Source organism: Homo sapiens, chromosome 3 (genome assembly GCF_000001405.40).
Source record: "Homo sapiens chromosome 3, GRCh38.p14 Primary Assembly".
NCBI classification, from domain to species: Eukaryota; Metazoa; Chordata; class Mammalia; order Primates; family Hominidae; genus Homo; species Homo sapiens.
Genome location: NC_000003.12, coordinates 32,466,248 through 32,481,011, shown reverse-complemented (window position 1 = coordinate 32,481,011; position 14,764 = coordinate 32,466,248). Strand labels below are relative to the sequence as shown.

Below are 14,764 nucleotides of genomic sequence, written 5' to 3'. Positions count from 1 at the left end.
ACAATGCTAAAAACAAAATAGGCACATTATCTTAGGAACTGTTCAATGATTGGGAAAGTGTGAAGCAAAATTATTAGGGTGGTGCTGGTAAAACTACAGCTATTTGTGTAGTTTGCGAAATTCCTGCCTCCACCCTGTGTGAGAATAACAGGGTCTTTATAGTCATCAAGAACTCACTGGAATTTGTACATTCTTCAGAGTTTAGAGTTGAGTTTTGTTTTGATAAAGAGCATTGTATCAATATGCAATAAGCTGCAAGAAGCAGAAAATCTAATTAAATGTGTCTTAAACAGTAAGAAAAACTTATTTCATAAGACATCTGGGTACATTGGTGAATTCAGTGGCCAAATTTTTCTACAAGTACAGTAATGTGTGTCATAGAAATTGATATAATAAAGGGGGAGGCTGGGCGCAGTGGCTCACTCCTGTAATCCCAGCACTTTGGGAGGCCAAGGCAGGCGGATCAGCTAAGGTCAGGAGTTCGAAACCAGCCAGGCCAATGTGGTGAAACCCCATCTCTAGTAAAAATACAAAATTTAGCTGGGTGTGGTGGCACATGACTGTAACCCCAGCTACTTTGGAGGCTGAGGCAGGAGAATCGCTCAAACCCCAGAGGCGGAGGTTGCAGTGAGCCGAGGTCATGCCATTGCACTCCAGCCTGGGAAACAAGCGCAAAACTCCATCTCAAAAAAACAAACAAACAAACAAAAAAACAACGGGGTGGGGGGAGAAGTATTGTCTTTTCCCCAACATTTTTATATTTAGCTACTTTTTAAAATTTTTGAATTTGTTTGTTTGTTTTGGAGACAGAGTCTTGCTCTATCCTTCAGGCTGGAGTGCAGTGGCGCCATCTTGGCTCACTGCAACCTCTGCCTCCCGGGTTCAAGCGATTCTCCTGCTTCAACCTCCTGAGTAGCTGGGATTACAGGCGCATGCCACCAAACCCTGCTAATTTTTTTGTGTTTTTAGTAGAGATGCGGTTTCACCATGTTGGTCAGGCTGGTCTCAAACTCCTGACCTCAGGTGATCCACCTGCCTTGCCTCCCAAAGTGCTGGGATTACAGGCATGAGCCACGGCGCCTGGCCTGAAATATTTCAAGTACTGGAAGCACAGAGGATAATACCTGTTGTAGACTCCACTCACTCACCTTTAATAGATTATAACATTTTGCCATATTTGCTTCAAGGTTGTAACTCTGGTTCATTCATTTTAAATGCTGTTTGGTATTTCATTGTATGGATATGTCACAATTTACTTATTCTCCTACTGATAGAAAAATTCTAACAGCATTTTCAGCTTTTGACCATCTTAACATTACAGGGAACAAATGTATTTGAACATCTCTTCTTGTGCACATGTGAGAATTTACATGGTGGGTAACTACTTAGAAGTTAAATTGTCTGGTGGGTCAGAAGGTACGTTATGATTTCAGCATGGCTAAATATTTCCAGATGGATCTCCAAAGGGTAGACCCAGTTTATATTTCCCTCAGCAGTGAATGAGGTGCTGGTTTCCCCACTCTTGTAATGCACTTAATATTAGTTCAACTTAACATTTTTGCTCGTCTGGTACTGAAATGGTGCCTCTTTTTTTTTTTTTTTTTGTATTCTTCCTGTTTCTGGTGAACCTGATTGTCTTTTCACTTGTTTGTTGACCTTTATTTCTCAGAAATAGAAAAAATAATCTGAAAATTCATATGGAAGTGCAAAAGACTCTGGATTGCCAAAGCAATCTTGAGGAAAAAGAACAGATCTGAAATTAGCCAGGCGCAGTGGCCTGCACCTGTGGTCCAATCCACTAAGGAGGCTAAAGTGGGAGGATCGCTAGAGGATCCTAACAGCATTTTCTCCCAGGAGTGTGAGGCTGAAATGAGCTGTGATTGTGCCACTGCACTCCAGAGTGGGTGACACAGTGAGACCCCATCTTAAAAAAAAAAAAAAGCCAAGCATAAAACAATTTTGAAATTGCACTATCAGAAATTAAGGTTTGATCAAGTCTGTGTTATTAACATAGGTAATAAAAAATAGCCCAAGAAAGCCAGCAACAGACCTATACATATATATCCACTTAAACAGAAGCAACATTGTATGTCAGAGAAGGGGCCACCCATTGAAACAATAAACTAGATGGTGTGAGGCATTCACACAATACATCAAAACCAAAGTAGCATCAAGTACTAAATATAAGATGTAAACCTTTAAACATTTTAGGAAGTATAGAATATTCCTTTTTTAAATTAATTTTTTATTTATAATTGACAATTATACATATTTATGGAGTACAGTATGATGTTTCAATATATGTGTACATTGTATCAAATCAGGGTTTGTCATATCCATCACTTTAAACATTTATTATTTCTTAGTAGTGATAACATTCAAAGTCTTCTAGCTATCTTGAAATATACACTACATTGTTGTTGTTTGAGACAGGGTTGTTTTGTCGCCCAGGCTGGAGCACAGTGCAGCCTTGACCGTCTGGGTTCAAGCGTTCCTCCCACCTCAGTGCCCCCGAGTAGCTAATTTTTGTAGTTTTTGTAGAGACGAGTTTTGCCATGTTGCCCCAGCTGGTCTTGAATTGCTGGGCTCAAGCGATCCTCCCAAAGTGTTGGAATTACAAGGGTGAGCCACCACTGGCCCGCCTACATTATTCATTTCTACAGTCACTCTGCTGTATAATAGAACACCAGAATTTATTCTTCCTAACTGTAACTTTGTATCCATTGGCCAACCTCTCCCAGTCCCCACTCCTGCAAACTCACTACCCTCCCCAGACACTGGTAACCGTTATTCTACTCTCTCATTCTGTGAAATCAACTTTTTTAGATTCCACAGATGAATGAGATCATGTGGTGTTTGTCTTTCTGTGCCTGGCTTATTTCACTTAACATAATGTCCTCCAGGTTCATCCATGTTGCTGCAAAAAAAAGCAGGATTTCATTGTTTTATGATTGAACAATATTCTATCGTGTATTTCTGTACACACATGCCACATTTTCTTTATCCAGTCATCTGTAGATGGACATTTGGATTGATTTTGTATCTTGGCTATTGTGAATAGCACTGCAATAAATATGGGAGTGCAGATAGCTCTTTGACATACTGATTTCACCACCATTGAATGTATTCTCAGTAATTAGACTGCTGGATCATATATGGTAGTTCTGTTTTTAATTTTTGAGGAACCTCCATACTGTTTTTCATAATGGCTGTACTAATTTACATTTCCACCCACAGTGCATAAGAGTTTCCCTTTCTCTAAATCCTTGCCAACATTTGATATTTTTGGTCTTTTTTTTTTTTTTGAGACAGAGTCTTGCACTGTCGCCCAGGCTGGAGTGCAGTGGCGTGATCTTGGCTCACTGCAACCTCCACCTCCCAGGTTCAAGTGATTCTCCTGCCTCAGCCTCCCGAGTAGCTGGGACTACAGGCATGCGCCACCACGCCCAGCTAATTTTTGTATTTTTAGTAGAGATGGGGTTTCACAATGTTGGCCAGGATGATCTCGATCTCTTGACCTTGTGATCCACCTGCCTTGGCCTCCCAAAATGCTGGGATTACCGGCGTGGGCCATTGGCGCCTAGCCCTATTTTTTGTCTTTTTAATAGTCGCCAATGAGCTCATAGTTCATTGTGGTTTGATTTGCATTTCTCTGATGAATGGTGATATTGAACATTTTTTTCATGTATCTGTTGGCCATTTGTATGTCTTTTCTTTGAGAAATGTCTATTTAGGTGTTTTGGGCATTAGGTTTTTTTTTTGGCAGGGGAGGCTATTGAGCTGTTTGAGTTTCTTGTATATTCTGGATATTAACATCTTGTCAGATGGATGGTTTGCAAATACTTTTCTCCCATTCTATAGATTGTCTCTTCACTCTATTGATTGTTTCCTTTGCTGGGCCACAGCCTTTTGGTTTAATGTAATTCCATCTGTCTATTTTTGCTTTCATTGCCTGTGCTTTTGAGGTCTTATTAAAAAAATCCTTGCCCAGTCCAATTTCATGAAGCATTTCCCGTTTTCTTCTTGTAGTTTCAGATCTTTTAGGTCTACGATCCATTTTGAGTTGATTTTCATATATGGTGAGAGAGAGGGGTCTATTTCATTTTTCTGCATATGGATATCCAGTTTTCCCAGCACTATATTCATTTCCCAAGTTACCATTAACCAGCACCATTTATTTAAGAGATTGTCTTTTCCCCAACGTACGTTCTTGGTACCTTTCTCAAATACCAGTTGGCAGTAAATGCATGGATTTATTTCTGGGTTCTCTGTTCTATTTCCTTGGTTTATGTACCAACCTCCAAATTTGTCCTTCCTTCCCTCCTTCCCTCCCTCCCTCTGTCCTTTCCTTCCTTCCTCCCTCTCTCCCTCCCTCCATGTCTCCCTTGCCCCCTCTCTCCCTCCCCTCCCTCTCAACAGGGTCTTACTCTATTGCCCATGCTGGAGTGCAGTGGTGTGCTCTAGCTCACTGCATCACTGCAGCCTTCAACTCCTGGACTCAAGCGATCCTCCCACCTCAGTCTCCCAAGTAGCTGGGACTACTGGTACACACCACCATACCTGGCCACCTTTTAAAAATTTTTTGTAGCGATAGACCTCACCTATCTCTTGCTTTTTTCTTGGAATTGCATTGAATTGGAAGATTAATTTTGGGGGAAATGGCATCTTACTGGTTGAACTTCATATTCATGAACATAGAATCTCCATTGATTTAGGTCTTTTATTGTTTTTCAGTAATTTTCTTTTGTTTTCATAAAGGTCTTACATATCTTTAGTCAGATTTATCCTAGATACTTATTTTTATAGTTACCTAGAATGGGATATTTATAAGAAATTACATATTCTGATTAGCAAATTACATATTCTGATATGCATACTAGCATATTACTAGTAGAAGTAACAGAATACGTCAGCAAGTTTGCTGAATGTAAGATCAATAATCAAAAATCAATTGCATTCCTAATACTCTACACACCTCTACTAGTTTGTCTGTGGATTTCTGTCAGATATCTCACATTTTGGATTTATTAATTTCTGTTATGTTATTTAACTTATTCCTTTATTTCCAGTATTTTCTGTAAACTGAAAGCCCTAAAGGCATGCTTAAATTCAGATTAAACTTTTTTTTTTTTTTTTTTTTTTGTAGGTGGTGCTGTATTCTCTGGTAATACCACATTCAGTGCACACTTAGTGGGTTCAGGCACTGACCATGTGTTCCCCACTCACTGTGAAGTTTCCCATCAACTTTTTAGCTAAAAGGTTTCATCCATTGATCTTTGCCTAAATCAGTTACTTTGTTAGCAGTTGCAAAATAGCAACTTTATAATTCTGTCATTCCTGCCACTTTGCTAGAATTCCTCAGAATCTAGGAATATGCATCAAATTTTTAGCATGCATATTTGATTTTATAAAGATTTGTAATATTAATCAGAACTCCTACTCATGTCCTCAATGATACTAAGACATTAGAATTAATGGTCATCCAGGAGAATGGCGTGAACCCGGGAGATGGAGCTTGCAGTGAGCCGAGATAGTGCCTCTGCACTCCAGCCTGGGCGATAGAGCGAGACTCCATCTCAAAAAAAAAAAAAAAAAAAAGAATTAATGGCCATCAATTCTTCTCATGTACTATGTTGTTATTGCCTAGTATTTTACATTTATCTTAACAACTTCCTAAGTTAACTATTAATGTTGTTTTATGCAGTCATTGCTGATTTAGATTTACCAACATATTTTAGTCTTTGAGTCCCACCTTATTTTTGGTTACTGTTTTCTAACTCTAGAGTTGGGTGTCCTTTCTGCAAGAGTGAAATTTTATTTTACCCTTACTCTTAAAAATAGCTAAGGTGGGTATAGAATTCTAGATTGATATTTTTTCTCATTACTTCAAAGATATTACTTTATTCCATTGTCATCTGGCCCCTGATGTTGCAAAAAACATGATGTCAGTCTGCATTCATACTAGGTAATCTTTGGTTCTTTTAAGATTGTATCTTTGAATTTGGTATTGAGTTTCACTGGAGATGTCTGTGGATTTATTTTTATTTAACTTGCTGGGGATGTGTTGTGCTTCTTTAATTTGAGGAATGAAATTGAATTTCTGGAAAATTCTCATCTATTTTCATTTTGAAATTAGTTTTCTTATTTTCTCTCTTGTTCTAGATTCCTTATGAGATGTATGTGGGACTTTCTCATTCAGTCCTCCAATATTTAACCTTCCTATAATTTTTTCTACTTTTTTTATCTCTTTATGCTACAGAGAGATAAAAGGCTGGATGTTTGAGGCTCATGGCAGCCTCAAACGCTAATTCTTTTCTTAAGCTGTTTTTAACTTATTCATTGAATTTTAACTAATTTGCTATTTAGCAAGTCCATTGAGCTTTTGACTTCATATACTACATTTTCTTTGAAACCATTCTGTTAAGATCTTAAGTTCTTTTGGTGCTAATTCTCCTGTTTGTTGGATTTACGGAGTCTTCCTCCTCATATTGGTTCCATTTTGTCATTTGGGAGTGTGACTCTAGGTTTCCAGTGGCTGAGCCCTTTTTATTTGATCCTCAGGTACTTAATCACCTCTGCACGTGGTATAGCCTCTGGATCCTTGCCTAGCCACCTGTTGCCCTCCTTCTCTCATCTGAAGTCAGAGCATTTAAAATGCCCAGAAAGATTGTTCCACTAGAAGCAGAATGGGACCTGCTGTTGGCACTGGACAAACCCATGTCAACCCATTGCTTTCCCCTTGGAATCCTCTTAAGTCAAGTTAAATCTCAGGTTTATGTGGGCAACAGAGAAAGAAACCAGCTGTTAATAAAGCCAGCCTCTGTGGGTAGGTGGCATGGATGGAGACCCTGAAGTTTTAAATGACCCTTGGGTCCAGGCACGGTGACTCACGCCTGTAATCCCAGCACTTTGGGAGGCCAAGGTGGGCAGATCACTTGAAGTCAGGAGTTTGAGACCAGCCTGGGCAATATGGCGAAACCCCATCTCTATCAAAGATACAAAAAACTAGCTACTTTTATCACATTCATTAGCATTCCCAAGCCCAGGGGCAGACGGAGGAGGTACTACAGAGTGAGGGGGCGAAGGGCATGGTAAAGGGAGGGATGGAGGATGGGGCCATTCTTCAGCAGGCACTTATTCCTTATATCCCACCCATCTATTTCCTTGAACTTGTGCCCTCAAAATCAAGAGCAGTCGCTCCTGCCATCAATGAGCATTCTCTGATTAAAGAATATTTTTACTGAACAAGGGAATATGTTCACACAGTGAAATACAGAAATTCTCTACTGACAGGGAAAGCTGTCTAGCTTAATATGACACTGTGCTTCGTGGTACAGATAAAATTAATATGCTGGGGGAAAGGAGCAGATTAGAAGTTGAGTATGCAGCCTAGGCAGCATGGCAAAACCCTGTCTCTACAAAAAATGTTTAAAAATTAGCCAGGTATGGTGGCATGCGCCTATAGACCTTGCTACTTGGGAGACTGAGGTGGGAGGATCACCTGAGCCTGGGAGTTTGAGGCTGCAATGAGCCGAGATCATGCCACTGCACTCCAGCCTGGGTGACGGTGTGAGACCTTGTCTCAAAAAAAAAAAAAAAAAAAAAAAAAATGTTGAGTACGCATGGTTCCCCAAGCTTTCATTATCCCACAATTTATGCTGGACATAAAGAGACTACATGCAGAGAGGGACCTGCCCCATGGTGCTCTACATGTTTATAGGGAAGTTGGAGGGGGCAACAGTGATTATGCAATTTTATAAGAATGAAAGTCCCTGTTATAGTAAGTGGCCTTATTCAAAAAAGGGCTCTTCAAAGGTTCAGGGGCTAGACTCAGTATGTTAGTGCACTGCGCTGATATGGACCTTTTGAGCCATCTCTCCAACAAGCTACTAAAATGAGGGAGGAAACAAACCTCCATGCCATCCAAATTTGTCTTAACCCCTGACCCTTGGGGTTCTACAGCTGGGCTGGGCCAGGGGTGACATATTTAACAACATGAGAACTAGAAGAGTCGTAGAAGGACATTTGGGACTGTTGTTCATGCCTGTAATAGAAAAAGAGAGAGTGATTCACTTCCCCTTGGCCTCCATGCACTTCTAGGGTCAAGACATTTATACCAGATCAGTTGGGATCTGTCATCCTGTCTTAGGGATGACTCAAGTTGTCCTTTTTCTGGACCCACGAGTTGCCATTTTGTTATCATAAGTACATAGCAGGCAGAGGAAGGTGGCCATAGAACACCTGATACAGAGTATCCAAGTTTTAGTCTATCCACAGAGATCTGAACAAAATGAACCATTCATCTATTTATCCATTGAAGGGAGCTCGGGTAAGCAGAGGTGATTATCATCAGCTTGTGCAGCTTGTAAGTAGATGAAGGTGGACCAGCTGTCCCTGTGGAAGTCAGCATTGAAGGGTCTGGTATAGCTGGCAAATAATATAGTCTTTGCAGTTAAACCTGGCCTCCGGCCAGGTGCGGTGGCTCACGCCTGTAAGCCCAGCACTTTGGGAGGCCGAGGTGGGCAGATCACGAGGTCAGGAGATCAAAACCATCCTGGTGAACACGGTGTAACCCTGTCTCTACTAAAAAAAAAAAAAAATACAAAAAATTAGCTGGGTGTGATACGGGCGCCTGTAGTCCAGTTACTCAGGAGGCTGAGGCAGGAGAATGGCATGACCCCGGGAGGCGGACCTTGCAGTGAGCTGAGGTTGCACCACTACACTCCAGCCTGGGTGACAAAGCGAGACTCCGTCTCAAAAAAACAAACAAAAAACAATGGCCTCCATAATTGATCACTGGGCATCTCAATCCTTTATGGTGGTTCCATGCATATGGTGGATTTGAGCACAGGTTGATTGGTCTGTAGTGGAGGTGATGGCCACATATGTTTGACTTTTTCACTTTAAATGCTTTTCACTAGATGTGTTTGCTTCATATAACCATATAGATAGATACTGAGTTTGTAATTAAATAGTTACATGTCCCCAAGGTAGGGGCCATCCAATATTCGGTATGTCTTTTCTGGTCCAGTCCTGGTTGGCCCAAAGATCTGACCATACAGATGGGCCATTCGTGACAGCCCATGTGGCATGTTTAATCTTAGGGCAGTACTCTCTGTGGCCAGAAATCCCTTCTGGAGTTCAGCCCATTGCACAGAGTGCCCAAAGCTGTGGGCCATCACCCTTGCGCCATCACTAGATGGCTGTAGCATTCCAAAGGCCCTGCTTGCTCAGAGGTGGGTGGGCTCTTTCTTCAGTGATGCTTTCTTGTCAGGTGGCCTGTTTCATAGGTGGCATCTTCATAAAACCAGCAGTTTTTGTAAAACAGTAGGAAAGACACTATTTCTGTCTCCTGGGTGGGCCACCACCTGTTTGACCCACCCTGAAGATGGCTAAAGGCTGAGGAGCTGGGTTTGGCCCTTAATTGGAAGATCCATTTTCTTCTCGTGATGGGATGTTCTGGAGCTTGTCCCACCCATTTGTGAAACTTAGTTCAGAATTGCAGGATGAGAATGTCAAGTTGAAGACTGTTTTGCGTAGGCAGGGCTCAGTGATGCTGGCCGTTGTTTCTCAGCAGCAGGAAGAAGTCCTCAAGTTCAAAAGGTCAAAGTCTAGAAGAAGAACCAGAGAAGTCTGGTTTGCCAAAGGCTCTAATCAACTGTGCAGTTAGTCCCAGACCCCTGTAGTTCCTTGACCCAAAGGAAATAAAGGCTCTAGGGCAAGGCTTCTGTTACTGCTGTCTGGGCTGATTCTTAGGTTCTTTGTTGTTCAGGCTCTTGGGCAAATGTGGCCACATGTCTGATGACTTGGGGGATGGAAGCTGTAGGAATATTCTTAGGTTTGGGATGTACCATCCAGCGGCCAATTTTGCTGTAGGGCCACTTTTCTTCTTCTTCTTCTTTCTTTTTTCTTCTTTTCTCCTCCTCCTCCCCCTCCCCCTCCTCTCCTCCTCTCCTCCTTGTCCTTCTTCTATCTTCTTCTTCTTCTTCTTCCTCTTCCTCTTCCTCCTCCTCCTCCTTCTTCTTCTTTTGTAGTTGGTGGCTATTACAAAGTTTTCCTTATTTAATTGTGAAATATCTATTTGAGCTGTGACACAGCCCCCAAGATGACCACTTGAAAGGCAGAGCGCCTGGGTTTTGTCCTTGCTCAGGGCCCACCTGTCTTTCGTCAGTGGTGCTTGGGTGGCATGTAACGCCCTGAAAGCAGTCTTCTTTGTGCAGACATGATGGAAATGCCTGCCCATACACCAGCAGTTCACACTGTGCTGGGTTTGTCCAACCCACTGATGCCACATCACTGGGAAATTCAGGGCAATAAAAGTGTGCTATATGCTGTGCTCGTGAAAGCAAACTGACATTCCCCACAGGGAGATCTAAAATAATGCATTAGCAATACCCTAGGTTGCAAACCAAGTACCAGGTAGGATGGCAGCAAAACATTCATTCATTTTTATTATGTCAGCACAATTGAAACAAAAGATGGCCACACTCTTTTTGAAGCTTCCCTAATCCACAGTAGAGTTCCCAGCATCCATTCGACAGACAGGGATGTTCAGCTAAAGAAAGCTCTGTATAGGCTGGGCACGGTGGCTCCTTTGGGACGCTGAAGCAGGTGGGTCACCTGAGGTCGGTAGTTCAAGACCAGCCTGACCAACATGGAGAAACCCTGTCTCTAGTAAAAATACAAAAAAATTAGCCAGGTGTGGTGGCTCATGTCTGTAATCCCAGCTACTCGGGAGGCTGAGGCAGGAGAATCGTTTGAACCTGGGAGGCGGAGGTTGTGGTGAGCTGAGATCACGCCATTGCACTCCAGCTGGGCAATAAAAGCGGAACTCCATCTCAAAAAAAGAAAGCGCTGTATAGCACCTCTGTTGGTATAAAACCTGTGTGAGAAGACCAAATACTTTTTCTTCTCCCAGAAAGAGGCATTGTTTCAAATGTTATGCTTGGCAAGCTTTATGAGTAAACACCATTCTTGGGCATGCATCTGACTGCTCCTGATATGAGTCACCAACAGGGGTCACAATAAATGTATCCAGTGAACAGGTTCTTGCAAAAGAGAAGCACAATCCAGGCAAACACACACACACACAGACACACACACACACACAACACACCACCTCACAAAACCACAGCAAGTATGTAGTAAGTTTAGGAATATTTGGGACTTCCTCCTGGGTAGGAATGAATCTGGGGATGCAACCCCACATCTAAGTCTTGTCCCTCTGCTGTCGTTTGCCCCAGACTGAGTTGTATCAGCTGAGACTTAGATCTTTGCTCCACAGGAACTGTGACATCCACTCCAGGTTTTGTATCAGGTCATCTGCTGTTCTGAGCACCCTTACAGCCCCCTAGCTAGTCCAGCTCTGCCTGTCCCTTTCATTCCATCCATACCTGGCTTTCAGTCATAACATGTATTATGCAGGTTTTTTTCTGGGCTTTTTTTCTGATATGCAGTGGCCTCATTACTCAGAGTTTGCATTTTGTAAGAAATCCACCTCTTGTTCAAATGACTTGCTTGTTTGAGAAGTTTAGTGGCTGAAGACTCGTTTTGTCTCACTCATCCCTCTGGGGCCTTGCGGTCTTTCTCTTTCCAGTCCCCTGGCCAATCAGCCAAGCCGTTCACCACTCCCTGAGTCTGTATATTTTCTTTCCAGCGGATGATCAGATGCACTGCCCAGAGCTTTGCCCATTGGGAGTGTTTCCTTTCACTGCTGTCTTTCAAGGCTACCCCTGAAATAACACTATTAGTGCAGCCAGCACACATTTTCAGCTTGTATCCACGTGGCCCGCTGAGCCATCATCATGAGTGAACCAGGGAAGGAGAGTGAGCCAATATGAGGATATTACTGAGTTAGCCACCACTGTGTGATTGGTTGCTCGATTCCACAGGACTGTCCTCTGAGAAGCTGTGTAAAATGTGCCTCAGGGTGGTCTGGTCCAGGAGAGGAGGAGGAAGAATGCACGCACTGGTTCCTGTGTCCCATTGGTCAGTGTTACCTCACAGGGAGTGAATTCCCCTGCAGCACTTGCAAGTTGCACTGTGTGGCCGCTGAGCAGGTCCCATGGCAGTGTCCACAGGAAAGCGCCAAGGTGACAGTTGAAGGCCCAAATCACAGCTATCAGGTTATGCTGGCATGACATGGTCGTAGGCCTTGCAGGGCTAGCACTGCAGTGGTGGCTGGATCAAGGGATAGGTGAGGCCAAGAGGATGTAACATGTTGCATAATGGTAAGTGAATAAAGTCCTGAAAGATTACATACAGTGTGGTATCTTTTCCATTTAATTATAAACTACCAAGATTACAAGAAATGCAAGCCCGTGATCAATGGGGGATTTGGGAGGTTACCTTGGGAGGAAAAAGATGGGAGGGTGATGAACTGAAGAAGCATATTGTTACAGTTGAATGCAGGTTGTCACGACTAGCTTCAGTGCTGACTATAAACAAAAAATAGGGAAGGAGGGAGGAAGGAGGCCATGCATGGACCATGATTAGAGTGTAAGAGTGTTATGAACTCAGGATGATGATTAATCTGTGTACCTGAGGTTCAAATAAAACGTGCAGGCCGGGCGCGGTGGCTCACGCCTGTAATCCTAGCACTTTGAGAGGCCGAGGTGGGCGGATCATGAGGTCAGGAGTTTGAGACCAGCCTGGCCAACATGGTGAAACCCCGTCTCTACTAAAATACAAAAATTAGCCGGGCGTGGCGGTGGGCGCCTGTAATCCCAGCTACTGGGTAGGCTGAGGCAAGAGAATTGCTTGAACCTGGGAGTTGGAGGTTGCAGTGAGCCGAGATCGTGCCGCCACTGGACTCCAGCCTGGGTGACAGAGTTAGACTCTGTCTCAAAAAGAAAAAGAAACCCACAAAACAACAACAACAAAACCCCCCAAAAAACAGCAACAAAAAAACCGTGCAAGTGGATGCTTCTAATGTGAACAGTTCTTAGCTTTCCCAGAGGCGTGGCTCTCCCCAAGGAACGCGGCGGCGATGCTTCCCGATGGCCGCCAGGGGGCGTGCGCGGCCAGGAGCGGGCGCGTTGCGCGCGGGCTCCTGCAGCCACCTGCTTGGTGGGTTTTGTTTTCGCTACAGGAGAGCTGTGTCCAGCTGGGAGGTGTGGCAGCAGGCACAGCTGTTGGCCGGGGACCCCGGGGGCTCCCCAGGGAGGGCCTCCGCCCAGCGCGCTGCCCCTGGGTTCGCTAGGAAGCATCTGCCAGACCGGCGGGGCCCCGACTTTCCGGAGAACTGCCAAGACCCTGGGGCAAGCGCTTGAGGGCCCTCCTGGGCAGGATCGCAAACTGGGGCTGGCTGCTTCAGCTAGCCCCCAGCAGGTGTGTTTGGCCTGAAGTGTATCTTTGAAAAGATACTTGGCAGCATTTAAAAATCGGGAAATGTTTAGCGTGGAAATCCAGATGACCATTTCTCTGGGTCACTTGGGGCATCTGGCAGCACTTGGCCAGCGGCTCGCTCCACACGCATCCCTGCCCGGCTGATGAGGTTTGTCACAGTTTCGGTTAAATCAGTATTCCGCGTGACCATTATTCTGGCTGTTATCACTATTCACAACTGAGCCAAGCGGCACACTTCATGCTGTGGTAACATTTCCTTTTTTGCATAACTCTACGTGGAGTATTTTTTATTTTATTTTTATTTTATTTTTTTGAGAAGGAGTTTCGCTCTTTTTGCCCAGGCTGGAGTGCAATGGTGCAATCTCGCCTCATCACAACCTCTCCGCCTCCTGGGTTCAAGTGATTCTCCTGCCTCAGCCTCCCGAGTAGCTGGGATTACAGGCATGCACTACCACGCCCAGCTAATTTTGTATTTTTAGTAGAGACAGGGTTTCACCATGTTGGTCAGGCTGGTCTTGAGGTCTTGAACTCCCGACCTCAGGTGATCTGCCCGCTTCAGCCTCCCAAAGTGCTGAGATTACAGGCGTGAGCCACCGCACCCGGCCTATGTTGTTTTTTATGTACACAGAATATGGCAATAAAACCCAAACAGTCCACCAGTTGTCTCCCCAGCCCTCCTCCAACCTGGGCCCTTTCCATCCACCTGGTGCCCAGTGGTTCCTGGCATCTCCCTTTATGTCAGTGGTTTCTGTCAGGCCTCTAAGCCCAAGCTAAGCCATCATATCCCCTGTGACCTGCACGTACACATCCAGATGGCCAGTTCCTGCCTTAACTGATGACATTCCACCACAAAAGAAGTGAAAATGGCCTGTTCCTGCCTTAACTGATGATATTATCTTGAGAAATTCCTTCTCCTGGCTCATCCTGGCTCAAAAGCTCCCCTACTGAGCACCTTGTGACCCCCACTCCTGCCCGCCAGAGAACCCCCCTTTGACTGTAATTTTCCTTTACCTACCCAAATCTTATAAAACGGCCCCACCCCATCTTCCTTCGCTGACTCCCTTTTCGGACTCAGCCCGCCTGCACCCAGGTGATTAAAAGCTTTATTGCTCACACAAAGCCTGTTTGGTGGTCTCTTCACACGGACGCACATGAAATTTGGTGCTGTGACTCGGATCGGGGGACCTCCCTTGGGAGATCAATCCCCTGTCCTCCTGCTCTTTGCTCCGTGAAAAAGATCCACCTATGACCTCAGGTCCTCAGACCCACCAGCCCAAGGAACATCTCACCAATTTTAAATCAGGTAAGCAGCCTCTTTTTACTCTCTTCTCCAACCTCCCTCACTATTCCTCAACCTTTCTCCTCTCAATCTTGATGCCACACTTCAATCTCTGCCTTCTCTTAATTTCAATTCTTT

At 44.1% G+C, this 14,764-nt stretch overlaps 2 annotated features.

Moving 5' to 3' along the window:
- Nucleotides 12,556–12,665: a silencer, noted in NCBI's record as "silent region_14172". NCBI's record gives its function as "represses an Ori minimal core promoter by ATAC-STARR-seq in GM12878 lymphoblastoid cells {active_cell/tissue: GM12878}" and the evidence as "EXISTENCE:reporter gene assay evidence [ECO:0000049][PMID:35858748]".
- Nucleotides 13,256–13,325: a silencer, noted in NCBI's record as "silent region_14171". NCBI's record gives its function as "represses an Ori minimal core promoter by ATAC-STARR-seq in GM12878 lymphoblastoid cells {active_cell/tissue: GM12878}" and the evidence as "EXISTENCE:reporter gene assay evidence [ECO:0000049][PMID:35858748]".